Source organism: Homo sapiens, chromosome 6, assembly GCF_000001405.40.
Source record: "Homo sapiens chromosome 6, GRCh38.p14 Primary Assembly".
Taxonomy (NCBI): domain Eukaryota; kingdom Metazoa; phylum Chordata; class Mammalia; order Primates; family Hominidae; genus Homo; species Homo sapiens.
The window spans coordinates 116086084-116111899 of record NC_000006.12 but is presented as its reverse complement, the minus strand read 5'-3'; the positions used below and the strand labels follow the sequence as shown (position 1 = coordinate 116111899).

Genomic DNA, 25816 nt, shown 5'->3' with positions numbered 1-25816 from the left:
AGTAAGAGGCTTTCCTCCCATCTGACTTGATAGGTATACAAAGGCATTCTATATCTAACCCCAGTGTGAAATCTTAGTTTCTCCTATCAACTAATTTTATCAAGAGCACTCATACTTCCTGACATTTTCAGCTCGCTATAAAAACAAACAAGCAAACAAAACAGAACTCTCAAAAGATAGCAAATATAACAAAGCAAACACAATAGGAACAAGGAGTAACTGCAACTATTTTCAGGTTACTATATTCTCTGAAGGAGAAAAGGTGCAATTCAATACTGTAGTGTGGGAGAAAACTGCAAAATGGTCAAAAAAATTGGAACAAATAAAAAAACTAATAATTAGGATTTTTAATAAGGTCTATTTATAAAAACATTTAACTATTCCCTATTAATTATGCACATCTATGTCTATAAATCATTTCTGAAAAATCATTTCATGTTTACCCATGGTGAAACTCTTTAAAGGCAGTAGAAAATAAAAATAGTTAAAATCATCTGGAAAACAGGAAAATAAGAGACAAAGGCAGATGATACTAAACTGGCAGTAAGGAAGATAATCATAGAAAATAGGAGTGGTAGGTAATGTGAATGCCTGGAGGAATCAGAGATGGAGAAAGAAAAGTAAGGATTGAGGACAAAACAAAACTGATAAATACAGGACAACTAAGGATTGTATTATTCCTAAGTGCTAATCTTTAAACCAGAACAAGTACAGGTAAAAGGAGTGCCAATAAAATCTTCTGTGAACAGTATTTTGAACCATCTGCCAAACAGAAGTCAAATACACTTGGAAAAAATACATCCTATTGCTATAAAGCTGAAGCTGCTCCCTTTGGCATCCTGCCCAGCAGGGGAAAGGGGGGTCTTCTTTGTCCTGACATCAAAGGTTTAGGGTACAAAACAAACAGGGAGCGGATGGTGGAGCTGCCTCATTTGAGTCATACCTGAGCGGCAAGCCATTCCAGTGTCCGACAAGAAGTGCTTCCACTCTTTCTTGCCATATGCCTCTGCCAGCACCTCTGGAGTCATCATCTTGGTGCCATGGCTTGCCCTGATTTTGAGAGAGGAGGCACATTGCTCATTAATGGTTCCTTGAATGCCCCTTCCTCTATCATTGTGACTGTTGATCCCTGTTGCCACTGGAGCTAACAAAAACATATGTATTTTTTCTGTTTTCAACTGGGTGCCTCCCTGTTTAGGATTCTGTAAAGCATTTCTGTGGGCAGCTGTAGCACTTACCCGCTTTAATCCATCAAGTAGCAGGTGATTAGGAGATACTCACTCTGAGGTCAACACTGGATAAGATACCACCCTTTTTTAGAGAAGTTGTCGTTTAACTACACAAATAAGATGAACATACCTGGAGCAATTAGAAAACAACTGTGTGGATTAGTGGGAAGCTGGTTCTGGCAGCACTGGAGAAAGAGCAGTAGGTACCAGAGTCAAAGCATGAGTCCATCGGGCCCATAGGAGGCACAGGAAGCACCTGGCACCCACAGGTGGATCATTGTGAGCACGCAGGACTGTGAAGACAAGATGAGGAGCAACCTGCCCACTCAAGGACACAGCATGGCTAAAACCAAATAGGGAAATCGAAGAGAAATGTGGAAAAACAGAGCAACATGACAAGAAAGTAGGTATTTTCTGTGCTCGAAATACTGCTTTTGTCCAGTTAAGAGAATCCTATGCTACAGAGAAATATGGTAGTTCCCCCTTATCCAGTTTTGCTCTCCCACAGTTTCAGTTACCTGTGGTCAACCTGGGTTGAAAAATACTAAGGGCATAATTCCAGAAACAAACAATTCGTAAGTTTTAAACTGCATAGCATTCTGAGTTCTATTGTTATATTTTATATTTTCTTACTATATCTATTAAACCTTATCATTGGAAAAGACATAGTACACATAGGGATATGTACTATCCATGATTTCAAGGAACCACTGGGGGTTTTGGAAGCTAACCTCCGAGGATAAGGAGGGACTACTGTAGTTGAAATGTTAATGTAGTTCATTATAGGAACTAGTTGAAATGTTAATGTAGTTTATTATGAGAAATTATAATGATTGAGAGTATTATTCTCTTGGTATTATAATGTGGCAACAAAATAATATGAAGGAAAAAAGAAATAAAATAAGAAAAGCAAATGGGGGAAAATCACAAATGGGCTCCTTTTTATAAAGGGGTTAACATTTTAGAAAGCTATATGTAAAGATCAAAGAATCCTGAATGGGAAATATGATCAGAAAAGGAATCTACTACACTGGTTGAAAGAAAGCATCAAGGAGGTATGCTAATAAATTCAGGAGAAACTAAAGGTTAGCCAGGACTTGGATGGAGAGAGACAGACCTTGTAGGAGGGGTACTGGGACAAGGACAGACAGATAGAACAAAGAGAGAAAGAAACAAAATTGTAGAAAGCTTTTCATTCTTTTAACTGTGGTTGAAGATAGCCAAGAACACTGTGAGAATCTGACAGAAGAGTTAAAGGTCATAGACAAAGCTGCATTTACACATACCCTATCTCTCAATGCCTGAGAAATAAACATGGAAACAAACTACAAAATACCAAAGGTGGGGCTACACCTGCTCTAGGTAGATGCACCTTAGGGGAAGGTCGGGGGAAAGTGTGAAGGGAGTTTGCATCATGCAAAAAGAATGATGCAACAAAAGAGAGTACATATCAGGGGTCTGGGAGTTCTCTCCTTTGATTCTGATCCTGTTTGTGTATGTAATAAATGGTATAGCTTCATAGCCATGTTGACTTGCCTGTACTATTAGTACTGGAGAAAAAACAGATGCTCCCTCCCTGGTGCCCTGTGAGAGACAGAGCAGTGACAGCAGCTGCTTCTGGACTGCTTGTCATACCCTTAGCAACCGTTGAGAGGCTGGGCCCACTCAGAGAGGAGAGAAGTAAAGAAAGTCAGCCTGGAGTGTGGGAGGAGGAAGAGGTTGATGAGACTTGGAACAGTCCAGAAAAACTTCCAAAAGGAGCTAGGACACAACATGATCCCTGCATGACAGGGCCAAATTTGGATAAATGAAGAAAGAGAGGGTGGTGGGTATAGACCACCAACCCCTACCCAATACCCATTCTTTCTTTCTTAACAAAAAGAATCCCAATTTTATTTTAGGCAGCCACACAGTCAGCTAAAACAGTAAAATTCCTGGGCTCTTTTGCCAGAAGGAGTGGTCAATGAGACGTAGCAGGTTATAAACTTTCTATTGTATGTCCTACAAATATTTCTAATGATGTAAACTTAAAGGAACTAGACCTTTAAATCTAATGCTCACAAATTCATATTTAAATGGCTTAAACAATTCATACAAAGACATGTAGACAGACAATCTGTCATCTGATTAATTAAAATAATCATATTTAACCCATACTGTAAGGGTCATATGCCACTCAGTAATAAAGTGTCTCAGAGAAGGTAAAGTTTAGACTTCACAACTAAGTTTTATTACCTGAGAACAGTGCCATTATTTGCAAGTTTAAGGAAGTTCCCATCTTCTAGATCCAATGCCAAACCTTTGCAACTGAAATAGGAAAGTTTGATTATTAATCAATTCCTATATTTAGCTAACCTAAGAAATAACAACCTATATTTTCCAAACATCATAATGCTAAAAAGGGATTCTGCCACCCAGGGGAATGATATGTTAATCACACAATTAAGAATATCTAAGAACTGTAAAATTAAATATCTATCACTGAGCAGGTATAAAAGGAAAATTGTTATATAGGTAAACAAGGACAGCATATTTAGTTTGTAAAATCTTTAGGCTTTTCAAAAGATAAATCTAAAACTCAAAAGAGAAAAAAAGAACCTGAACATCATCCCATGACTTTGTTAAAATGTACAAATGTTTTCCACTAAATAAAACACACATACACACACACACACACACATTTATATTCTACAAGTTAAGCACTTAGCCAGTCTTTCCTACACTCTAGAATTCGTCTCAATTTAGGTCAGGTTACAAGAACTTGCCATCTGGACAAGGCATATCATTGAAAACCACTATGGCCAGGCGCGGTGGCTCATGCCTGTAATCCCAGCACTTTGGGAGGCCGAGACGGGCGGATCACGAGGTCAGGAGATCGAGACCATCCTGGCTAACACGGTGAAACCCCATCTCTATTAAAAATACAAAAAATTAGCCGGGCGTAGTGGCGGGCGCCTGTAGTCCCAGCTACTCAGGAGGCTGAGGCAGGAGAATGGCATGAACCCGGGAGGCAGAGCTTGCAGTGAGCCGAGATCGCGCCACTGCACTCCAGCCTGGGCGACAGAGCCAGACTCTGTCTCAAAAATAAAATAAAATAAAATAAAATAAAATAAAATAAAATAAAATAAAAAGAAAACCACTAAAAGAAAGTCAAATACTGTTTTAGCTCCTTTACTGTAAAAGACTTGTGGGATTTGGGGAGAAAGGTGAGTACAGATTCATTATTATGAATAATAAAAGCAAAGTGGTATAATGGCTACCAAATACCAAGGGAATTAAACAAAAAATGACAGGGTACTTTAGAAGGATTATTTACTTTTGTTCAGGGTAAAACTTCCAGAGTCAGTAATTTCATATAGTAACATGTTACTGTTTCTTCCTTTTACAAAAATGTTACATCAAAAAAGACTAACAAAATATCAAAAGAATGCATACTAGATCAACATAATGTAGGTATTTTTCATGTGGTTTAGTATTGTTATTGATTCTCACTCTGTAGCCCAGGCTGGAATGCAGTGGCATGATCAGCGGCTCACAGCAGCCTGGACCTCCTGGGTTCAGGCAATCCTCCCACCTTAGTCTCTCCAGTAGCTGGAAATACAAGCACGTGCCACCTCACCTGGCTAATTATTTTTTATTTTTTGCAGAGTTGGGGTTTCGTCATGTTGCCCAGGCTGGTCTCCAACTCCTAGACTCAAGCAATCTGCCCACCTCAGCCTCCCAAAGTGCTGGGATTACAGAATTGCCACCACGCCTGCCTGGCCTGATTTTAAACTGAACAATTTAAAGTGGCTTAGGATATTTGTTTGTTTTGTTATCTAAATGAGGAAGACAAACGAAGCTTTGGGAAGCTGAGAGTCCTAACCCAGGAAGGGAATTCCCAGTAAGAGTCTTAGGAATGTCGAACTAAATGACAGAAAAGCAATTGTCCTAATTCAGACTTACTCAAAATGTGATGATTCCTCCTTTTCTCTTATAGTTCTTAAAAGATAGTAAACCAAACCTTTTTCTTAAAGATGCAAATTTTAGAAACAGTTCTTACTAACCTCTGAAACTATTATGACAAACTTAAACTATATGAAAATATCCAAATTAGTCACATAAACTCTTAGCTTATTTTCACATTTAATTAGGCAAGTCTAAACTTGTTTAAAGTAGAAAACACTTTAATTCATTAAATACAAAACTTTTAATATAGAAGGCATTTGTCCTTTGACTCAATCTCACATTTCACATTCCATCTTCTTAGAAGAGAAAGCATTACAGTTTTATCAGTAACAATTAGAACCACAGGAAATGTACAGACTTAAAAAAAAAAAAAAAAAAAGAACTTACCAGAAATCCCAATCCTCTGGGGTCACATTGAGCAATTCCTTATCGTACCCTTTCTCCTTAACTAGGAACTGGGCAAAGCTATTATAAATGAGCTGCAAATAAGGGGAAGAAAAACAGATTAAATATAACACCCACTATTCATTCTTAATGTCACAGACCTAAAACCCTAATGGAATTGCTGATGGGGGCAGGTAGGAGGAAGGAAATATCTGTAATTGTGAAGTTCTGCAGTATAATTCTCCTTCACAAGCAATTTATCATCCCCTGCATGCCCCAGGTAGCTGTCCCATTCAAAATTATACCGTCAGCATACAATTATACAACCAAAGACAATTATTAACCCTACTCCTGAATTCTAATGGGTTGGAGATCATAATTTAAGACTTGACAAAGCTTTTTAAACTTATTTAATACATCACTAAGATGATAAAGATGATGACCACTCTATCCATCCATCCTTGGTCCATTCTGGCCAGAAAGGCCCCATGTCAGGGAAATACATATGGGGACCAGGAAGGTGATCTAAACAAGTCATGATGCCTCTATCAGATACAGGTAATCACTCTTGTTTCTCCACACACACATACACAAAAACCATTAAAAAAAAAAAATCTAAAGACAAAGGACAAAGAAAGCCTCTGGAAGCAAGTACAATAATTACAATAATAAATACTCTGTTGATTGCTGACAGATCTTATTTCTCAACAACAAAAAATGCTAGGTTTTTGAGTAAAATATCTGGTTTTTAAGTGCTGGCTAACTTTAAAAGAACTGTACATACCAAACAAAAAGTGCACAAAAGGTAGATGGTCCAACCTTATTCTACCTCGAAGTGTTCTTTGGCCAGTGTTGGGTAAACTTGAGCCTGAGCAGAACAGTTGTCTGAGTCAACCTGCACAGTGTCCAAAAGGACACACTGAACAATCTGACCCTTCTTCTACAGATATTAACCCACAACAGGTTTCGATAACATGTCATACTTTTAGGGAGAAGAGGGAGGCAGAGGAGCAGGGGAAATCTCTCCTGGGTAGTGAGGTTTACACTGATACTTAGATGCAGCAGTTCGCTGGGTGAATGCAGAGGGAATGGGGGGCAACTCAGGTTCAGAAACTGAGGGGCCTGCACACAGCTGGAGTAGGGGTGTCGGGGTCTGAGTGTCAGGATATGAGCATGGAGAAAGCAAAGGCTCCTTGTGAAATGTCAAATCGAGTTGCTCCCTGTCATAAAGCTAATTAAAATCACTACACATGTACTTCCATCCAGTGCAATGTGACCTTATCCAGGTCAACTGTTAATTGAACCACATTATGTTAACACTATATATCAACAGTTCTTAACCCTGGTGGTGATTCAGAACCATAGGTGACACTTCTTAAAACTACCCAGAGCTTCCAAGCATACAGGGTAGAGAGGGCCCTCTCTGAAGCACAGAGAACACTGAAAATCACTGACCTGCATGTTTTACAGATTTTTATTCAATCATTAAAAGGAAAAAAGCAACAAAAAATACACTGAGTCACCCTGTGGTACAAAGTACTATGGACAATAAAAAGTCCACATCACGATCCTGCTTATAAGAAACCAGTGCTGCAGGGCTAACAGATGTAAAATGCTTAGAGCAGAGCCTGGCACACCAGCAAATCCAATTTAAGTATTTGCTATTATTATGTTGTATGCTGCTAAAAACAAAACAAAACAAAACAAAAAAACAGAAAACAAAAACACTGCCCTGACAGGTAGCGCTTGCCCATCTCCACGGTGTAAATATTCCCACCATGGCCTGTTTCAAGTCACCAACAGCAGTTTACCTGCTTGCACAATTCCTGAATAGTTAACAATTGGCTTTCACAAGCCCCTAAGAGCCAGCTATTGTACACCTTAGATTTGCCTCTCATTGAGGCACTTTTGAGTTTCTCCAGTTATTCAAGTGATTAGTCTAAGATATGGGCATGTAATTCTAAAACACTTGAATTCTCCTGGAAGAAAGGAGCCCTTTCCATCAGAGACGCCAACAGGGACAGCAACAGCTGTGTTCCTTACCTTGTGGAGGAGATTTTTCTGTAACAGGAGAGAAGGGGGCCAATGGACAAGGAAAAGAAGCAGAGAAAAGCAGTGTGAAGAAAAGCAGGGGCATCTGTACTCTGAAACCCCTGGTCTAGGCAGAAGGCTTCTTGCAGTTTGTCCTTAGAGTACGCTGAGTCTCTCTAGAAGCCTTCATGGCACAGGGCTCTCCATGACATTCCTCCCCCAGCCTTAGCTATCACCACCTCACAGTCTCTCAGGAGTAATAATAATACACGTTCTACTGCAGTTGCCAATTGGTACCCTGTGGTCCATATGCAGCCTACAAATTATGTTTGGTTCCCACTTAAGGTTGCCAGATAAAATTTAAAAATGCCTAGGTAAATGTGACTTTCAAATAAAAAACAAATAATTTTTTTTTAGTATAAGCATGCAATATTTGGGACCCCACTCTCCCACTCACACATCTACGTTAACTGACTGGTATCAGACTTCTGAGTCTGCAACCTTAGAGAGGAGAAACCATGTGTCATCCTCTCTTCTAGAATGCCTTTCCTGAGGCCTCATGTGAGGGGGACACACTCAGTTCTGTGTTTGCACAACTCTGTGCAGTTGTTAAATGCCTACAAAACTGAAAGGAGACGCACTCACAGCTCTCCATGATGCAGCCCCCACTGACTTCTCCACCATCTTCTCCTGCAACTTGCCACCTTTTGCTTGCACCCAGCAGTTCCCGGTGCTGTTGCTCACCTCGAGGTTCTGACCTTTACTCTAACTCCTCTGGGTGAAGCACTCCTCTCCACCTCCTCACCTGCCAGCTCCCGGCCTTTCCTCTGTGTTTTCGGGCACCATACAGACAGCAAGGTGGGAAGAAGCAGAAATCCACAGCCGGACTACCTCGCTTAGTTGCCCTGGATACACTTTCCTTCTGTGCCCCGTTGCTTGATGCTCTCTTAACAGTGACTAAATCACTGTTAAGTGATTAAACAGTGGTGATAATATCTACCTCACAGGGACGTTGTAAGGATTAAATCCATTCATATAAGCAGCATGCTTATTAGAATCATGGCTGTATCATATTCTGTTATTAAAATACCTATTATCTATTCAGTCTATTTATTGAGTCCAGTATGTGCCCAGCACTAAGCTCGGCACACAGAACACACAAGAAACTGTCACAGATACTGATGGAGTCATCACGCTGGGCTCTAGGGGAAGTCCAACAAGTAAACAGGAAGTGTTAATATCATGCAGCATGTGCTATGAGGAATGAAGGGTTTTGTGGAAAACTGAAGGTGGGCTTAGAATGGAAGGGCAAACTTTAAGGGCCAAAAAGACTTCCTAAGGGGAACGATGTTTAAGATGAGGCCTGATGGGATGAAGAGCTTCTGTGCAGAGCAAAGAGGCCCTCCAGGCACTGTTGGCAGCGTGAAGCAAGACCCAGGTCATACTACCCACCACAAGGGACCAAGACTAACTCTTCAGCATTTTTGCCTACTGTGTAAGGCTGCCTGGAGGCCTGCGTGTTGATCTCTGTATCCTCAGCTCTAGCATGGTGCTCAGCACACTGTGGGACTTAAAATAAAAAAGATTTCCACACCAAACATGATCCAAAACTCAATAGGTTACTGTTTTCAAGCTTTAAACATCACTTATTCTCCAGGTTTGCAGTAAAAAAACCTCTTGTCTTTGAGAATCTTATATTCTGAAATTTTATGATCACCTATGGACAACACTAGCTCTAACATGACAGTGGTTTAACAATATTACCTCCAAATGAAGGTAACTAAAGAGGAGACACACAAAACTGTGAACCAGGAAGGATTCGAAAGACACAGAGGGAAGGAAAACATGTATCAAAGACCTAGGGGAAGCAGTGGCCAAAGAATCAAGCAGTAAAAAAGCCTTCTTAATTCTCAATGTGACTAAGGAAACCAGACCTGTAAGGTAAGAAAGCAGGAAAGTGTAACAGCAGAAAAAGGACATTTAAAAAAAAATTTAGCATCTGGGCATAGAAAACACACGAGAAATTCGGGCAGCCACTCTTTTTTGACCTTTAACGTGTACCTGAACTGGTGGGTGCAGGAACTGGCGGGTGCCCATAATGGGGCACAACCCTGGCTGATGTCTGCACCAGTGATCTAGAGTTCTACCCATAAACTGTGAGGTTTCCAAATAGTTTGGGTGGTAACCATAAAAGCAAACACTTGTCTTTGCCAAGGTACTATTCTAAGCATTATACATCTCTTACTCATTTAATCCTTGCAACAATCTTGTGAGGTAAATCCAATTATTAGCTCCATTTTACAGATGGGGAAACTGAGAAGCAGCACAGGTTAAGTAACTTCCTCGAAGTCACAGAGCTAGTAACAGTGGAGCTGGTGTCCTAAGCTAGGCAGTCTGGCTGAGGAGTCCTCGCTTTCACCACTGTACTCATAACCAGCTCTTTTTCTGTCTGGATGCTTAGATCTTGGACTAAAAAAATCTGGTAACTTTTCAAAATTAGTTTCCTTGGGAATTGGGAAACCAAAGGAATAGTGGAGGGAGGGCAATTAATTTGAGTGTACAGGTCTGGAAGCATGCATACTCCATGTCCCCCTCCCTCAGGGCACAGTGAGGACCCAAACTTCGCAGACTGTTGGTAGGACTGGAATGTATTCAAAGTGCACGGAGCACGTAGTCGATGCGCAATAAATATGTATTTTCTTCTCTTGATAGAAGGTAAAACTAGGGCTAAGATCTTAATGACTTTTCAACTAGTGTTCCTTTCAATACACTACACTATATACTACGCATCTCTCCCAGATTGCAGTTTAAACACTGATGGGTGGTTGATCGTGCAAACAGAAAAATGCAGCCAAAAAAAATGCAAGTACCAAATCAAGTGGCTGTGTCCACAATCAGCTGGTGTCCAGAAAGACATGCAGAGAAAGTTCCACGACGTGAGATCTTCAAGGACAGCCCTAGTCCCCCTGACCCCGCCCCTCCTCGGCCCTAGAAATCACCGATTCCCCAGCCCGGTCTTGCGCAGTTTGCCCCTCCTTCGTTCTTCCCTATCCCTCTCAACATTAGCTAATGGCTGAGGTAAATGTGCCGGTCCCCACGGCACCGGCGCGGAGCGGAGGCTGCACACTTCCGCCCCTTCTCGCCGCTGGAGGCCGCGCTCTGCGGCAAGACTCGGCCGCCGCAGGCCCCGGGCAGCGTCCGCCGTTGCCCAAACCTGGAGGAAACTCAAGCCCCAGCCGCCATGGAGGTTGCGCGCAGTGCGCCCCGGAGCCCGCGCCACTCACCGGGGCGCTCTCGGGCAGGTTGTAGCGACACAGAGTGTGGTCCAGGTCGAATCCGACCACGTCGCAGGCGGCCAGGGAGAAGTGCTGAGCCATGGCTGCGCGGGGAGCACCAGGGAGCGCCTCGGCCGCGAAGGGTGCAAGGAGCTGGCTGGCGGGACGCTGCGGGACAGGACCGGGCCGGACGCGGCGGGGCGGGGCTGCGGCTGCCAGGGCACACGGCGCGGCAGCCTCTCCCGCCTCCCGCGCCCTCGAGCACCGCCCCTCGATACGCTTAGCCCCCGCCCCTCGCGCGGCGGGCGTCCTGCGCCGCCCGGAGTCAGGTAGTCAGCTCGCGTCCTCCTGGTACCCCAATGCCGGCGACTCCTGATCTGTTCCGCAAGCCTAGGAGCCCAGAAGGCAGTAGGGGTCCAGGAGCGGTGCCGCTGCTGCACAGCTGAGACCTGTAGGCACGTAGCCTTTCCCGAGGGCTACCACAAAATTAACCGGGACACTCCATCGCCTCAGGGCGCCTCGGAAACCAGGAGATCATGAGGTTAGACCTGACCTTTTACCCCTGTGTGAGGAATAGTAAGATCATAGAAAAAATTCATCCGCTAATATCCCTCTGACCCAGTTAGCCTACAATTTGGAAGGTCTTTTCACCCACGTGATCTTTGATAGTGGTTTAAACCAAAAACTTTATATTCCTTGGTTTCCTAAGTGGTTAAGTGGAAGACAGACCTTTCACTATTTCATACCCTGGAGTGCGTTAGAAAATAAATGTATCAGACATCGTGAAGAACCATTTTGCAAGATGATACTTGTTATGGAAACCAATATTGGTTATTACTTGATAATCCTATTTTGTTATTGTAATGAATTTTTTATGAAAGGGCATCAGAAACTTCATAGAAATATATAGAGCATACTACAAAAAACTTTTGCAAACCGGGTTTAAGGTTTATAGAGCACAAAATGTTTTGAGTGACATTTGCTTAATTCTCTCAAGAACTGTATAACTACTACCATTTTAGATGCAGAGAAAGTTAATCCATTACATACAATGTATGCCTTAGGGCATTTAATTCTCTTCCTGATTTCCGGATGTGAAGGACTAGCACTTTGAGATCTTTATTACATAGTACCTCATTTTAAAAAGAAAATACAAATCTATTATGTTTACACTGCTTCAGTTCTCAATTTAAAGGAACAATGTGTCTAATGGGACAAATCAATAGTCGTGACATAATGAAAATATAATTGATTGAGAACTGCATTTAACCCTTTCAAATACTAATCCTTCTGAGGCTAATAGACCAATCAGAGGATTAATTTAGTGCAATAGATAGTACAATTGAGTAGGAGGACACTTATACCTAGTAGACCCATTTGAATAAAATTGATAACTTGTTCCATTATAACACTTAAAAGCCCCAAACAAATCTCTCTGGAATAGGAAAAGTAAAGAATCTTCAAGAAGATTAAGCTGTTCACTGATGAGTCCAACAATCATGTTTTCAATGTCTGTGAACCAAAAGAGAAAAGGCTGGATTGTTGGAGAGGCTGGAAAAAGCTTGTTGGCCCTGGAGCATTGACCTTGGCATTCTCCTCTGCACCTTGCAATAGAATGCTACCAAAGTCAAACTTCCAGGTGCATGCCACATTGAAGGGCACATGTTTCCTTGGGGAATATCTTGTTTCATGTGGGAGTAGGTGCTTTAGGTACTTTAGGGACTTCCCTTAGTAATACAAATGTACTAGTACATTCATTGTAAGAGGGAAGAGTATAAAAGGATTGTTTTTTGTTGACTTAGCAAAAACTTCTCCTTACAAAACCTCTTGAGTGTGCTGAATTGTGAACAGGAAATTGACTTGGGGTAAGGGGAGAGAGGGAACCAGGGCACTCTTAAAGAGAAAAAGACCCCTGGGTCGATAACCAAGTGGTCCTGGGACTGGATCTGGCTATTACATGCACATCAACAATCTTATGTACTTGCTGATTAACAAATTATATATATTCTGCATGTTTGCACAAACAGTTCTTGTGCTAGAGAGTCCACATCATTTAAACTTTGTGGGAGAATTTTGCAAATGATCCAATCCTAGAGGCTTGTACTCTTTCTTGAGCCCCACTCACCTTTCCTTTGTACCTCAAACCTCAGTCTGACTCTTCCAGAAATATAGGGGATGGTTCCCTTCTCTTCTCCCATTCCCTACATAACCCTGAGTTTAAATACAAACACTCAGTTTAATTGTTTCATAAGGCTTATTTTTGGATAAAGATATTTCATTTTCCCTGCACATTAAACTTTTATCACACTTACTGATAAAATGCCACAGCTCTTGTATTATCAACTACAAGTTCAGTCTTCTACTTAGATACCAATTAATTTCTGTTTCTTTGAGTATCATGGACTGAATTTTGTCCCCCACTCATTCATGTGTTGAAGACCTAACCCACAATGTGTTTATATTTGACATAGGGCCTTTAAGGAAGTAATTAATGTTAAATAAGGCCATAAGGGTGGAGCCCTAATCCAACAGGATTAGCATTCTTGTAAGAAGAGGAAGGGGCACCAGAGTTTTCAAGCACACAAGAAAGGCCATGTGAGGAGCCACAAAACCACGGCTGTCTGCCTGGCGTCGTGGCACACACCTGTAATCCCAGCACTTTGGGAGGCCAAAGTAGGCAGATCGCTTGAGGTAAGGAGTTCAAGACCAGCTTGGGCAACATAGCGAGACCCATCTCTAGAAAAAATACAAAAATTAGCAGGGTATGGTGGCAGGCACCTATAGTCCTAGCTGTTGTAGGGGCTGGGGTGGGAGGATCGCTTGAACCTGGGAGGCAGAGGTTGCAGTGGGCTGGAATCAGGCCATCGCACTCCAGCCTGGGTGACAGAGAGAGACCCTGTCTTTTAAAAAAAAAAAAAAAAAAAAAAAAAAAGCTGTCTGTAAGCCAAGGAGAGTGGCTTCACCAGAAACCAACCCTGACAGCGCCTTGATCTTGGACTTTGAGCCTCCAGAACTGTGAGAAAATAATTTTTTGTTGTCTAAACCCCATTGTGTGGTATTCTGTTAAGGCACGCTGAGCCAACTAAGGCAGTTAATAAGGATAATTGACTCAAATCAGTGTTGTGTTAAATGTAGGAAATATTTGCCATTTGAAAGGTCTGTAAAGGACATGAACTTGGGTTTATGTTATTTGTTGACTTCTTGAAGTTGGGTACTTTTGCTTATGTGTAACATTAATACCATGCTGTGAAGTTTTAGAGTTTTTTTGTTTTTAGTATTTCATGTACTGTTTTTTCTTATACTTATGAGTTATGTAATAATTTAGAAATATTCAGAAACAGGAAGTTATATTACAGCCGATTTTCTAGAATTAAATTTCATTATTACAATTGATCTGCTTTTAATTGAGGTGGTACTATAATTTAGCAATTTTAACCTTAGGTGTGACTTGTGATTAGCTAGCTTAAGCTTTAGACTCTATAATATCTCAATAACTGATCTTTTGTGAATTTATAATACTTTATTTTAACATCTATATTGTAAATATGATTTGCCATACATTTTTGGGAAGGAGGGAAATGGCCTGTTTCTTTTTTCATTAGTTTAAAATATGCTTTTCTAAATATTCCTAATTAAACATTGTATGTTCAACTTTTTGTATAACCTAAGCCAATCTACATATCTTCTGTGGCACATATAATTCTTTAAGGGGTAAGAAAAAAGTTCATTTACTAAATTGGAAAAAAATAGGAAAAATATGAATTTCTAAAAATAAAACTCTATGGCACTTAAATATTAGACATTTAGCTACATAGAACCAAATACTTATTTGTAATATTATGCTGAGGCCTTTAGATGGCAGTAGTCCTGCATGAGGAATATTTTTTATTTTTTTTTAGTAATCTTAAAATCTTTACATTTCTTAATAAAAAATACTTCATTTTCTACTCTCTTGATTTTCTACTCTGTTCTTACCACAAGAAGAAGAAGCCTACTTAGAAATTTCACTGTGGTTTTTTGGTGTGTGAATTTATTTTCGATGATGGAGAGGGAGGACGTAATGGGACAAAGTCCTTTTGTGTCCGTAGTTGGTTCCTTCCAGGGGGTTCTTGGTCTCACTGACTTTAAGAATGAAGCCGTGGACCTTTGTGGTGAGTGTTACAGCTCTTAAAGGTGGCATGGACCCAAAGAGTGAGCAGAAGCAAGATTTATTGTGAAGAGCGAAAGAACAAAGCTTCCACAGCATGGAAGAGGACCTGAGTGGGTTGCCGCTGCTGGCTGGAGTGGACAGCTTTTATTCCCTTATTTGTCCCTGCACACGTCCTGCTGATTGGTCCATTTTACAGAGCGCTGATTGGTCCATTTTATAGAGTGCTGATTGGTCCATTTTACAGAGTGCTGATTGGTGCATTTACAATCCTTTAGCTAGACACAGAGTGCTCATTGGTGCATTTTTGCAGAGTGCTGATTGGCACATTTACAATCCTTTAGGTAGACACAGAGTGCTGATTGGTGCGTTTTTACAGAGTGCTGATTGGCGTGTTTACAGTCTTTTAGCTAGACACAGAGTGCTGATTGGTGTGTTTTTACAGAGTGCTGATTAGTGCATTTACAATCCTTTAGTTAGACACAGAGTATTGATTGGTACATTTACAATCCTTTAGCTAGACACAAAAAATCCCCACTCGACCCACAAAGTACAGCTGGCTTCACCTCTCAATCTCTCCTCTAAACAGGACACCCCAACTGCTGTTGGGAATTGGGCGATGACCATTCTAGCTACTTCCTGTGGGATAGGGGCAAAGAAGGGGCCCTACAGTTGTACTGTCCTCTAGAGGGGAACTCTTTAGGCCAGTCAAAGGGCCAGTGGGTTTGTCCACGGGTCCTCGGTAGAAGTTGTTAGTTGAGCTCATTTGTGGTTCCATTTGTAAGACCATCTGTAGCTTGATGGCCGTGATCCTAGAGGAACCAAATTTGACAAGGAGGTTAAAAATAAAGGGCCTGAAGGCGAGTAATGGCAAGATGGCTGTCATGGGACCTAGAAAGGGGAGAAGTCATGTCACCCAATTCCAGAGGTTGGTATAAGAGTTTGAAAGGCATTGTCTGATATCAGAAGCCTTTTCCTATAAATGCTGGGCGGCATCTCATACTGTCCCTGACTGGTTAGTGTAAAAGCAACACTCTTCCCCTAAGAAGCTGCAAAGTCCTCCTTTCTCAGCAGTGAAGAGGTCTAGGCCTTGGCAGTTTTGGAGAGTCACTGCTGCCAAAGAGTCTATTTGGGATTGTAGTTACTATCCTTACTGGATAGATTTTGTTATTTCTTGCAAATTGTTTGAGAAATCCTTTGAGAGTGTGTGGTAGTAGGATCATGAAGTAGATAAACCTGCTATTCTGCTTCCTGTAGCAGTGGCCATTTCTAACCCTATAAGTAGGGGTATTAGTTGCATGACCCTGCACTGATGGACTTGAGCTTTGAGGGGCACTGATAGGGTATGATGTCCATAAGATTAGACGTTAGGATAATACATGTTACACTGTTAACTTTTAGCAAACTTTACTTTTGTTGAAAACCTTGTAAGTTTGGGATTTTAATTTTTCTTTGCTATTAATAAAACCTCTTTCAGTCCATATTAACTTAGAATTGATATAGATGGCTCCTTCCTGATTCTGTAAATACTTTAAGGTTTGGCTGAGTGCAAGCAACTCCCATGTTTGAGCAGACCAATTATTAGGCAATTTTCCTAACTCTGCTTCTATAAAGAGTTCCCTTATCACTTACTGAATACCCATGGTGTCGTTTTCCCTTAATCACCTAGGAGGAACCATCTATTGTCCTGTCTTGAAGGGAGTTCTTCCTAGGTCTGGTTGGACCTTTGGATGGTAATTAATTAAGATTTAGATCCCCTGTTAGGAAACCTGCTGGATTAAGGATTTTTGATAGAAAGGCTACGGGTTGTCAGTGGCCTCAGTATTTTCGGCCTATGCCCTTGTTTACACTGACAACAAGGTAGTATTGGAGTGTTATAGGGTTATAGAGAAGACCTTCAATTATCAATTATAGGTTTTAAATTTACCCTGGCTTTTAAAGGAATATGGTACGCTGTTTTTTCTTTACTACTTCCATCTCTCTTTCTTTCTCTTTGACTTCTTTGTCTCTTTCTCTCTTTCTTACTCCCTGTCTATCTCTTCCTCTCTTTGACTTTCTGTCTCTCTTTCTCTCTGATTCCCTCTTTGTCTCTGTCTCTTCCCCTCTCTTCTTCTCTTTCTCTGACTTTCTGTCTCTTTCTCTCTTTCCTTTCTGCTGGTCTTTCCCTGTCTCTGCCAGATGCTTATGCTGCTGTTCTCCCCTCTCCTTCCCCTTTTGACGGCTTTGGTAGTGTAAGACTGCCACCTCTTTGGGTTTTTGCACTGCGTGCAATAACTCCATGGTTTCCTTGTGATATTTAATGGAAGTTCCCCTAAAGGTTAGGAACTCCCTTTTTTTCCATATTGCAGCGTGAGCATGTAGGATTAGATAAGCATACTTACTATCTGTAGCAAAGTCTACCAATTACAACTGAGAAGGTGGGAGAAATACCTGGTTACAGGCCGTCCCAGGATTCCTTGGATGGTAATGGACCTTGAGGCAGCTGTCCGGGACAGGACACTGAGAAAGCCACGCCAGTGTCCAGGAGGAAGTCAATTTTCTGGCCCTTAATGGTTAAATGTACCCGGGGCTCAGTGAGGGTTATGACATGAGCTGGCGCTTGCCCCGGGCACCCTCAGTCCTGTTATTGGATCATCTTGTTGGGGGATTCTGGTCCAGAGAACCTTTGTCCCCTGGGGCAGTGCACCTTCCAGTGATTGCCTCGGCATAGTGGACATGAGCGAGGGGGCAGCTTGTTTCTTGTTGGACAGTATTTTTAAGGTATCCTTGAAAACCACACTTGTAACAAGCCCTACTGGGTGACTGGCCTGCTTCATTTTCTGTCCTTTCTGAAACACCAAGGTTTGTTTGTCTGAGGGCCATGACTAAGGCTGCGGCCTTTCTCTTATCTTGCTTTTCCTTTTCAGCCTGTTCCTTTTGGTCCCTATTATAGAACACTGAGGTTGCCAGGTTTAATAATGCCTCCAGATTTTGTTCAGGGCCCAGGGCTCACTTTAGCTTTCTCCTGATATCTGTGGCTGATTGGGTAATAAACTTATTTTTTAGGATCAATTGAACCTCAAGTGAGTCAGGTGACAGGGGAGTGTATTTTCTTAAGGCCTCCCATAGCCACTTGAGGAAGGCAGGATTTTCTTCCTTTCCCTGAGTTATGGTGGACATCATTGCATAATTCATTTTTCCTAATTCTCCTTAGTCCTTCTAGAACACAGGTCAACAAATGTTTGCAACTCCAGTCCCCATGATCTGAGTCAAGGTCCCAGTGGGGATCCATACTGGGGATGGCTTGCTGACCAGTAGGGAATTTGTCCCTTTCTTCAGCTGTCATTCTGTCATTTACTTGACTAAGATACCAGGTATCTCCAAACTCTCGGACTGCAGCTAAAGCATTCTTTTCATTAAAGGCCAGGGTTTGATCTAACAATAGCATGACATCTTTCCAAGTGAGATCAAAGGTTTGCCCTAGACCCTGTAGGACATCTATGTACCTATCAGGATCATCTGAAAACTTCCCCAGGTCTACCTTGATCTGCTTTAAATCAGAGAGGGAGAAGGGGACATGTACCTGGGTTGGGCCAAATTCCCCTCCCCCTACAGCTTGAAGGGGACATAACTGATAGCCCGGGGGTTTTTTTGGTCTCTTGGAGATTTCTTTGCTTATTTCCTTCTGGGCAGGGGAGATTGGAGGAGGCTTATCATTAATAGGAAGGGGAGCTATAGGGAGGCTAGGCTATGGGGGTAAGCTGAGAGGTCCTCCTGTGGGATGTAAATTGCAAGCTTTGCATAGTTGTGGATTCACCTTCAATGAAAAGAAAGCTTGGACATAAGGTATTTCACTCCGTTTGCCTTCCCTCTTACAGCAAAGGTCAAGCTGCAGGATAGTATTGTTATTTATACCTCCCTCAGGTGGCCATTTTTCCCTATCAGAGAGAGAATATTGGGACCAGGCAATAGTGCAGAAAAAAATGAGCTGCCTCTTTTTCAGGGTTTGTGGGTCAAATTGGTCCCAATGGCTTAGGATGCATTTCAAGGATGAGCCTGTTGATGACTGAGTGTTTCCCATGTGAAAGAAAAATCTGCCCATGATTTTGGTTTGTTTGTTTTCCTGCTGCTACCCAAGAACTCGCAACGGTCCCCAGACCCTGCTGATCGGAATAGTTGCACTCACCGACGCAGCAGCAGAAACCCTTCTTGCTCAAGAACCCACAACGGTCCCTGGACCCTGTTGATCAGAATAGTTGTGCTCACTGACGCAGCAGCAGAAACACTAGTTTTCCTCCTACACCACAGGGAGGACCGAGGAAGGTCGGATTTAGTGGCCCTTACTGATGCTTTCTTGAAAACCTGCACCTTTGCCTGTCCTCCTAGACCACAAAGAGGACCGAGAAAAATTGGATTTAGTGGCTCTTACCGATGCATTCTCAAAAACCTGTTAGAGTCCTAAGCATTCTCCTGTTAGTATTGGGACCTTACCACTGTCCTATAAAGATGTTATGCCCCAAAAATGAAGTGGAGGGCCATACCCTGAGGGAGGGAAGGGATCTCCAGGGTTGGAAGAGTGACGCCTTTTGTCCTACTTCTCATCATATGGATAGGAAGGATATCATTTCTGAGACTCCCCATATCCTAGCTTCAGGAATAGCTTTTGTTAGGCCTTCTAGTCTGAGGGGAGATCCTAAAATTCCAGATAGTCCCCACCCGACAGGGCTTTGGGCAAAAATTATGCCTCTGATTGGTAAGCCCAGGTGCCTAAAGAAGGTAACAGAGTCCTGAAGTTTATACTAGAAATCATTCTTATAGGAGAAACTAGAAAAGCACCAGAGACAGGGAGTGGTTTTTAGAAGTGGGACTAGCCTCGGAGAATGGAGGTAAGAGGAAGCTTGTCTGACTGGCATTAGGACCCAAGAGGCGAGGGTCAGGCTAGATAGGATAGATGGGCAAGTTTCGCTTGGGTGACATGACTTTGAAAGTTCCACACATGGCTACAGGGTCAACCAACTTTTTGTCTGGACCCCAGAGCTGAATGGCTTTCCTCTCCGTCGACCCTCGGCTCAGCCCAGAAGTACAGGAAAAGTGGAAGCTGGTTCCAGGCAAACCAATGCTCCCAACTCCAAAGAGCCGGGGGTTGTCAGAGAGCCCTTTCCCAGAAACCCTGACACCCCTGTCTTCAGTCTGACGGCCACACTAGTCTCTTTTAACTGGCCAACAGTTGCCTGGTGTTTAGCCCCCGAATTCTAAGGAAAAATAGGACAGAATAGCAAGCGAAAGGGGTCCGATGGTACTCACTGCTTGGTGATAGGCAATAGTCCCTTCATGGTTGCCAAAATGTGTCTGGAGTTGGTTCCTTCCGGTGGGTTCTTGGTCTCACTGACTTCAAGAATGAAGCCTCGGACCTTCGCGGTGAGTGTTAGAGCTCTTAAAGGTGGCGCAGACCCAAAGAGCGAGCAGAAGCAAGATTTATTGTGAAGAGCGAAAGAACAAAGCTTCCACAGCATGGAAGGGGACCCAAGCAGGCTGCCGCTGCTGGCTGGGGTGGCCAGCTTTTATTCCCTTATTTGTCCCCACCCATGTCCTGCTGATTGGTCCATTTTACAGAGTGCTGATAGTGCATTTACAATCCTTTAGCTAGACACAGAGCTCTGATTGCTGTGTTTTTACAGAGTGCTGATTGGTGCATTTACAATCCTTTAGCTAGACACAGAGTGCTGATTGGTACATTTACAATCCTTTAGCTAGACACAAAAAATCTCCAAGTCCCCACATGACCCAGGAAGTCCAACTGGCTTCACCTCTCACTTTTGTAGGAAACTTCTTACAAAGATTGTGTCTAGATTTTAAAAAATGTTTAGAATATGAAATGAATTCCTCTTGGATAGATATTAAGTGGCAGGATTACAATTTTAAAAAAATCTCAAATGGTAGAGCAATGAAATGAAATTTAATTAAATGTTAAGTTTTGCTTTAAGGTTCAAATAATCAACTTTAATGATATATGATAGGGAATGTTGATTTGCCAGCAGCTGAGATGGAAATACAATATGGATAAACTCAAGGTAAGCTCAGCTAGTTCCAGGTTAAACTTAATGTCTCTTTGACTGTCACTTTATAATACCTCTCTTTGACTTTGGCTGTTCTTTTGGGGGTGTGGGGCTTCTAAATTGCAGAAGGGCTAACATACTATTGAGAGGTCTGGGGAGAGAATTTTGATCCTTGGTTAATGGCATCCATATGCATGGCTTTTCCTGGACTAGACCATCCCTGGTGATTTTAGGTTGCCTCTAGACACATTGTCTGTAACCACCACTGCTGTATAAACTTTAAAACACTTCAGTTACAGTGTTGTCTAAAACATGTTTAGTTTTGACTCAAACCATGCGGCCATTTCAGGCCTGCCTCTCCACACTCAGCCAACCTCTGTATTTATCTTGCAATCACAGGAAACCTTTGGTTTTGGAACCACAGAAAAAGAAGATGTATGTACTATGATGGGGGAAGGTGAGGTCACCACCTCAGACCCTGTCTCTAGATGTGACCCACTGTTCCTATTCTAATCACTGTCCCGTATCATCACATTACACCCTGCAAAGCTGTTTTCTCTCAGAATTCTAAATGCAAATCAGGACCTAGTTTTCTCTGCTTTGGGACCCCCAAACTCATGTTGGGGGTGCTGTTGTTTCCTGTGCAAGGGATTTAACCTTGCAGTGGAACAGAGTGTAGGACCCATGACACGACTCATTATCATGCTCTTCATCCTGTTTATCTGAGACTAACATTCACAGATAAAATACAAAATGCCCAATTAAATTTGAATGCCCCAAATTTTGTGGAACTTCTTAATGCTAAAAAATTATTTGTTTATCTGAAATTCAAATTTATCTGAAATTCAAATTTAAATTGATATTCTATATTTTTATTTGCTAAATCTGGCATTGTGAGACAGGGACTCAATATCCTTTTGCAACAAACTTTTTGGAAACATTTTTGTAATTAGTATTTTTTTTTTCCTTCAGAAGTAAAGTCAAATGTGCCTTGGGGTTTGTTATAGGCGGAAATGTGTCCGTCCAAAAGTCATATTTTAAAGCTCTAACCCTCAGTATTTCAGAATGTGATGATACTTGGTGATAGGGCCTTTGAAGAGGTGATTAAGTTAACATGAGGCTTTAAGGTGGGCCCAGATCCAATCTGTCTGTTGTCCTTATAAGAAGAGAAAATTAGACACATAAAGATACAGCAGAGATGCACAAACAAAGAGTGTGTGAGGACACAGTGAGAAAGAAAAGTCATGTGAAGCCACAGTGAGAAGGCAGCCGTCTACAAGACAAAACAGGCCTCAGAAGAAACCAAGCCTGCTGACACCTTGATCTTGGACTTCCAGCCTCCAGAACTGTAAGAAATACATGTCCGTTATTCAAGCCACCCAATCTGTGGCATATTGTTATGGCAGCCCTAGCAAACTAATACAGCATTCAAGACTATTTATTTACTATTAGAGTCTAGAGTTCATTTTGGGAAACAAAACTAAGAATTGTCTCTCTTTTCTGCTCTAGAAGATCTTCCTTTTAGGGCTGGGCTGAGAAAACTATTGCTGCTTTCTGAGTGGGGGGAAATTTGAAGCAAAGATATCTCAGTCAATATCTTAATGTTATGCAGCATGAGCAAAATCTATAAACAAAGATATAATGGAAGCATTTAAGCCAAGCCTTTTTATCTAGGGATTGGTGTCTCTGAGGGATTATGGGAAATTTGTGAGATAGTTTTGGAGTGTGGTCAGCATTTTGATGGTAATAGCAGTATAAATAATATGTAAGAAGACTGAAATGGTTCTTACACTCATGTCTGTCCTTTCCTCTTTTGCCTCATGTATTGATTCCAATTTTTCAAATATCTAGGTGAGTTAAATTTTTGATTATTTAAGGGTATGCCAAATATGAACATATTTCAGGAATCCCTTATAAACTGTGATCCAGTCAATGTGGGGCTCCCCATGGCTCAGTCTTAAGTGCATAACTTCTTTGTCTTCAGACCTCTTGGGCACCTTTCAGTCAGTTAACTCAGAAAGTGTTTACTTTCATGACTTAACTGACTGAAAGCATCCAAGGAGAGCTAATCATATTAAAAAACCAATCAATCATTCATTCATAAATTATTATTGAATTTGTCAGACATTGTCCCTGGCTTTGCTTGCTCTGAGCACCAGAATCACATCTGCAATATTAGCTAGACTTGAGAAATTGAACTACGACCATACATAAGAAGAAACCTTGAACCAGGGATGTTAGCAAGGTGCTAAATATTTTAGCTGAAAATGACATAGTACATATCACATACTCTGTAGTGTACAATTATATGTGTGTACATATGCAACAAAATATAAATGTTATTTGGTGAGATTATGACATTTGTTTTCAACTTCCTTGCCCTTAAGAAATCAGAGGAAATGTTTTTGGGGTAAGAGAATGCTCTTAGGTCAGGCTTTCTCTTCTTCCAGGGTTAGCTTGTTTTATAGTTCTTGTCCTATACCATTGTGCACTGAGGTATTGAGTTCTCATGTCTGTTTTTTTTATTACTATTTGCAGAAAATTTATAATTTCTCAAAAGTTACTTTACTGCATCTTTCTCATGGATGGGTTGCCCTAAAAGCAGAGCCTGTGACAAGGACTTGGCTGCAGGTGGTATGTTAGGAGATGATCCCAGGAATAAACAGTAAATTAATGGAGAGAGAGTAAGCCAGTAACAATACCAAAAAGCAACATCAAGATCACTGTTGTAGGCAACGGTGGTTCAATTCTGCTGGCATGTCCCATGAAACACAGAGGATACTTCCTGGAATTGTCCACTGGAAGGAGGAGAGGCTGAGTGTTTACCCGCTGGCTCCTGTTGTCATGATTGAGGGTTATCCACTCACCAACTTTCAGGCCGTGCTTGTACTTGGGCTCCTATGGCCTCAGAGAAGGCCCTTGGGCACAAAGGAGAAAGACCTTGCAGAGCTCTGTTGAGGTGGGTCATTGCTAGTGTGCTGTAAGTCTGTACTTACATGAAAATGAGCATGTATGAGCTGTGGTTGAAATCAAAAGTGGGCTAAGGGGATGTGAAACAGAGTACCAGTGCCATCTGCTACAGTGGCCATTCTTGTAAAAGCTCATTCACTTCAGTATAGTCCACAAAATTTATTCCAATCTATAAGAATTAGGCTGGGAATGGTGTCTCCATCTGTTGGCCAGTCTGTCTCTAACCCCCTGTTCCTTCTGTATCTTCTCTTTCTGTTCCATCTGTGGGCTACTCTGTATTCTCTGCCCCAAGGCAAAGTAATACAACTCAGTGGAAATTACCATAAATAGTTTAGTGCTTTCCAAACGTGTTCGTGTCATGACTCACATAGAAAATGGTGAAGTTTATTTAGCATGCTGGAACACACAGAAAAAGCTGGTCCAGTTAGGTGGGGCAGCTTAGGCTTTGGGGTTACTCTAGGGTGCAGAGGGCAGGGCTGATCAATATTGTAGCATAAATATAACCTGGTATGTGTTGGGTACATTGGTTGAAATATTTTATTGAATAAACTTCTATTTTTTTCTTTTTAAATGCTAGTAAACTCTTGGCTTCTTACTTCTCAGTTCAGTTTAGCAAATGTTTATTGAGAATATACTGCGTGCCAGGCACTATGGTAGCTACCATAAAAATATAGACAAAGTAAGTACCTTGCCTAGAGGGCCCTGCGGTTTAGAGAAAGAGATGGCACATAACCTGATAACTACAATAAAACAATGTGTATAAAATAAAGAGGAGACGTTATTTTGGCAATGCTTCTTTCATTCATGCTGCGCGCTCTGCTCAAAATATTTTTTCTCCCTTGATTTCCTGACTTCCATTCCCATGCAGGATATCTCCCACATTACCTTTAGAAACGACATCAAGTATTTTGTCTAGCTGCAGGAACCTGAAGTTATCTTTACATCTTTTTGTGGTATTATAACCTGTTTTCATGTCAGTCTTCTCCTCCAGCTCTAAGTTATTTCAGATGGGGACTTCGTCTTGTTCACTTTTGTGTCTCAGTGCCTAGCACACAACCTGGCACATAATATCCATTGAATGAATGAATGAATTCCCATTTATTCATTTTCATCTTTTCAGTTGTGAAGTTATCAATGGCTGCAAAGAAGCTTTTATTCAGAGGCCATAGGCACCCATATTTCACTGAAACTCTGAATCCCATGTCCTTAGTAATCAATTAATCACAGATTTAGAATAAAGATTTCAGTTGCTTGGAGCCAATTTCAGGAAATGTTCTGACAACCATTAATTTTTCGTTCTGTCAAATACTAGTATCAGTGCATGAGCTACTACTTTTAATTTGACCTTTGGTAGACCATTTCCCACACCAAGAACTGATGGGCAGACTATATAAATAATTACAGCATAAAGACAGCCTAAGCTAACATTTTAGGAAACTGAGAATGAGCTTACCCAGCAGCACTTACTTTTTAAATAGTACATCACATAGAAAAATACTTATTTTAGGAACTTAGGTTTATGGATTTTATCATGAGATTCATAGTGTTCCCTTAGTTCCTATTAATAGATTTTTATCTATATTGAGATAATACTACCTACTAAATTCTCTTCATTGTGACTTTTGACTGTTGGAAAATAGTACTTTTTGTCCCCTGCGACTTGTTTTTAAAGCTGTATTTTTAAAATGTCATTTGGAAATACAAACAATTAGCCGGGCATGGTGGTGGGTACCTGTAGTCCAAGCTACTCGGGAGGCTGAGGCAGGAGAATGGCGTGAACTCGGGAGGCGGAGCTTA

General features: G+C 41.5%; 2 protein-coding genes across 5 annotated transcripts in view, besides 10 other annotated features; one reads left to right on the top strand and one right to left on the bottom strand.

Annotated features, from left to right (window-relative positions):
- Nucleotides 1–11047, bottom strand: part of NT5DC1 (5'-nucleotidase domain containing 1) — a 148645-nt gene extending 137598 nt beyond the window's left edge. For both annotated transcript variants that reach the window (NM_152729.3, XM_006715378.4), the window contains exons 1-4: nucleotides 10877–11047; nucleotides 5565–5656; nucleotides 3465–3536; nucleotides 944–1050 (exon numbers count right to left, since the gene is read on the bottom strand). In NM_152729.3, coding sequence (NP_689942.2) covers nucleotides 944–1050; nucleotides 3465–3536; nucleotides 5565–5656; nucleotides 10877–10969 — 364 coding nt within the window. In that variant the 5' untranslated portion in view covers nucleotides 10970–11047. The remainder of the gene's footprint in view (nucleotides 1–943; nucleotides 1051–3464; nucleotides 3537–5564; nucleotides 5657–10876) is intronic.
- Nucleotides 4574–4743: an enhancer, noted in NCBI's record as "experimental_88050 CRE fragment used in MPRA reporter constructs". NCBI's record gives its function as "activates a minimal promoter by MPRAs in K562 erythroleukemia cells, with activity observed for the non-introgressed 6:116428405 variant allele {active_cell/tissue: K562}" and the evidence as "EXISTENCE:reporter gene assay evidence [ECO:0000049][PMID:34662402]".
- Nucleotides 8805–8874: an enhancer, noted in NCBI's record as "active region_24980". NCBI's record gives its function as "activates an Ori minimal core promoter by ATAC-STARR-seq in GM12878 lymphoblastoid cells {active_cell/tissue: GM12878}" and the evidence as "EXISTENCE:reporter gene assay evidence [ECO:0000049][PMID:35858748]".
- Nucleotides 10344–10864: an enhancer, noted in NCBI's record as "H3K27ac hESC enhancer chr6:116422199-116422719 (GRCh37/hg19 assembly coordinates)". NCBI's record gives its function as "activates a minimal SCP1, AML or CMV promoter by ChIP-STARR-seq in primed H9 embryonic stem cells {active_cell/tissue: H9 hESC(primed)}" and the evidence as "EXISTENCE:reporter gene assay evidence [ECO:0000049][PMID:30033119]".
- Nucleotides 10865–11387: an enhancer, noted in NCBI's record as "H3K27ac hESC enhancer chr6:116421676-116422198 (GRCh37/hg19 assembly coordinates)". NCBI's record gives its function as "activates a minimal SCP1, AML or CMV promoter by ChIP-STARR-seq in primed H9 embryonic stem cells {active_cell/tissue: H9 hESC(primed)}" and the evidence as "EXISTENCE:reporter gene assay evidence [ECO:0000049][PMID:30033119]".
- Nucleotides 10972–11231: a silencer, noted in NCBI's record as "silent region_17491". NCBI's record gives its function as "represses an Ori minimal core promoter by ATAC-STARR-seq in GM12878 lymphoblastoid cells {active_cell/tissue: GM12878}" and the evidence as "EXISTENCE:reporter gene assay evidence [ECO:0000049][PMID:35858748]".
- FRK (fyn related Src family tyrosine kinase) overlaps nucleotides 11175–25816 on the top strand; it is a 169577-nt gene continuing 154935 nt past the window's right edge. For all 3 annotated transcript variants that reach the window (XM_011535656.3, XM_011535655.3, XM_011535654.3), the window contains exon 1: nucleotides 11175–11408. In XM_011535656.3, coding sequence (XP_011533958.1) covers nucleotides 11404–11408 — 5 coding nt within the window. In that variant the 5' untranslated portion in view covers nucleotides 11175–11403. The remainder of the gene's footprint in view (nucleotides 11409–25816) is intronic.
- Nucleotides 20509–20754: a silencer, noted in NCBI's record as "fragment chr6:116412309-116412554 (GRCh37/hg19 assembly coordinates)". NCBI's record gives its function as "represses an EF-1alpha promoter that drives an FKBP-Casp9 reporter gene in an ReSE screen in HepG2 liver carcinoma cells {active_cell/tissue: HepG2}" and the evidence as "EXISTENCE:reporter gene assay evidence [ECO:0000049][PMID:32094911]".
- Nucleotides 21364–21573: an enhancer, noted in NCBI's record as "active region_24979". NCBI's record gives its function as "activates an Ori minimal core promoter by ATAC-STARR-seq in GM12878 lymphoblastoid cells {active_cell/tissue: GM12878}" and the evidence as "EXISTENCE:reporter gene assay evidence [ECO:0000049][PMID:35858748]".
- Nucleotides 22947–23116: an enhancer, noted in NCBI's record as "experimental_88040 CRE fragment used in MPRA reporter constructs". NCBI's record gives its function as "activates a minimal promoter by MPRAs in K562 erythroleukemia cells, with activity observed for the non-introgressed 6:116410032 variant allele {active_cell/tissue: K562}" and the evidence as "EXISTENCE:reporter gene assay evidence [ECO:0000049][PMID:34662402]".
- Nucleotides 24174–24223: an enhancer, noted in NCBI's record as "active region_24978". NCBI's record gives its function as "activates an Ori minimal core promoter by ATAC-STARR-seq in GM12878 lymphoblastoid cells {active_cell/tissue: GM12878}" and the evidence as "EXISTENCE:reporter gene assay evidence [ECO:0000049][PMID:35858748]".
- Nucleotides 24234–24413: an enhancer, noted in NCBI's record as "active region_24977". NCBI's record gives its function as "activates an Ori minimal core promoter by ATAC-STARR-seq in GM12878 lymphoblastoid cells {active_cell/tissue: GM12878}" and the evidence as "EXISTENCE:reporter gene assay evidence [ECO:0000049][PMID:35858748]".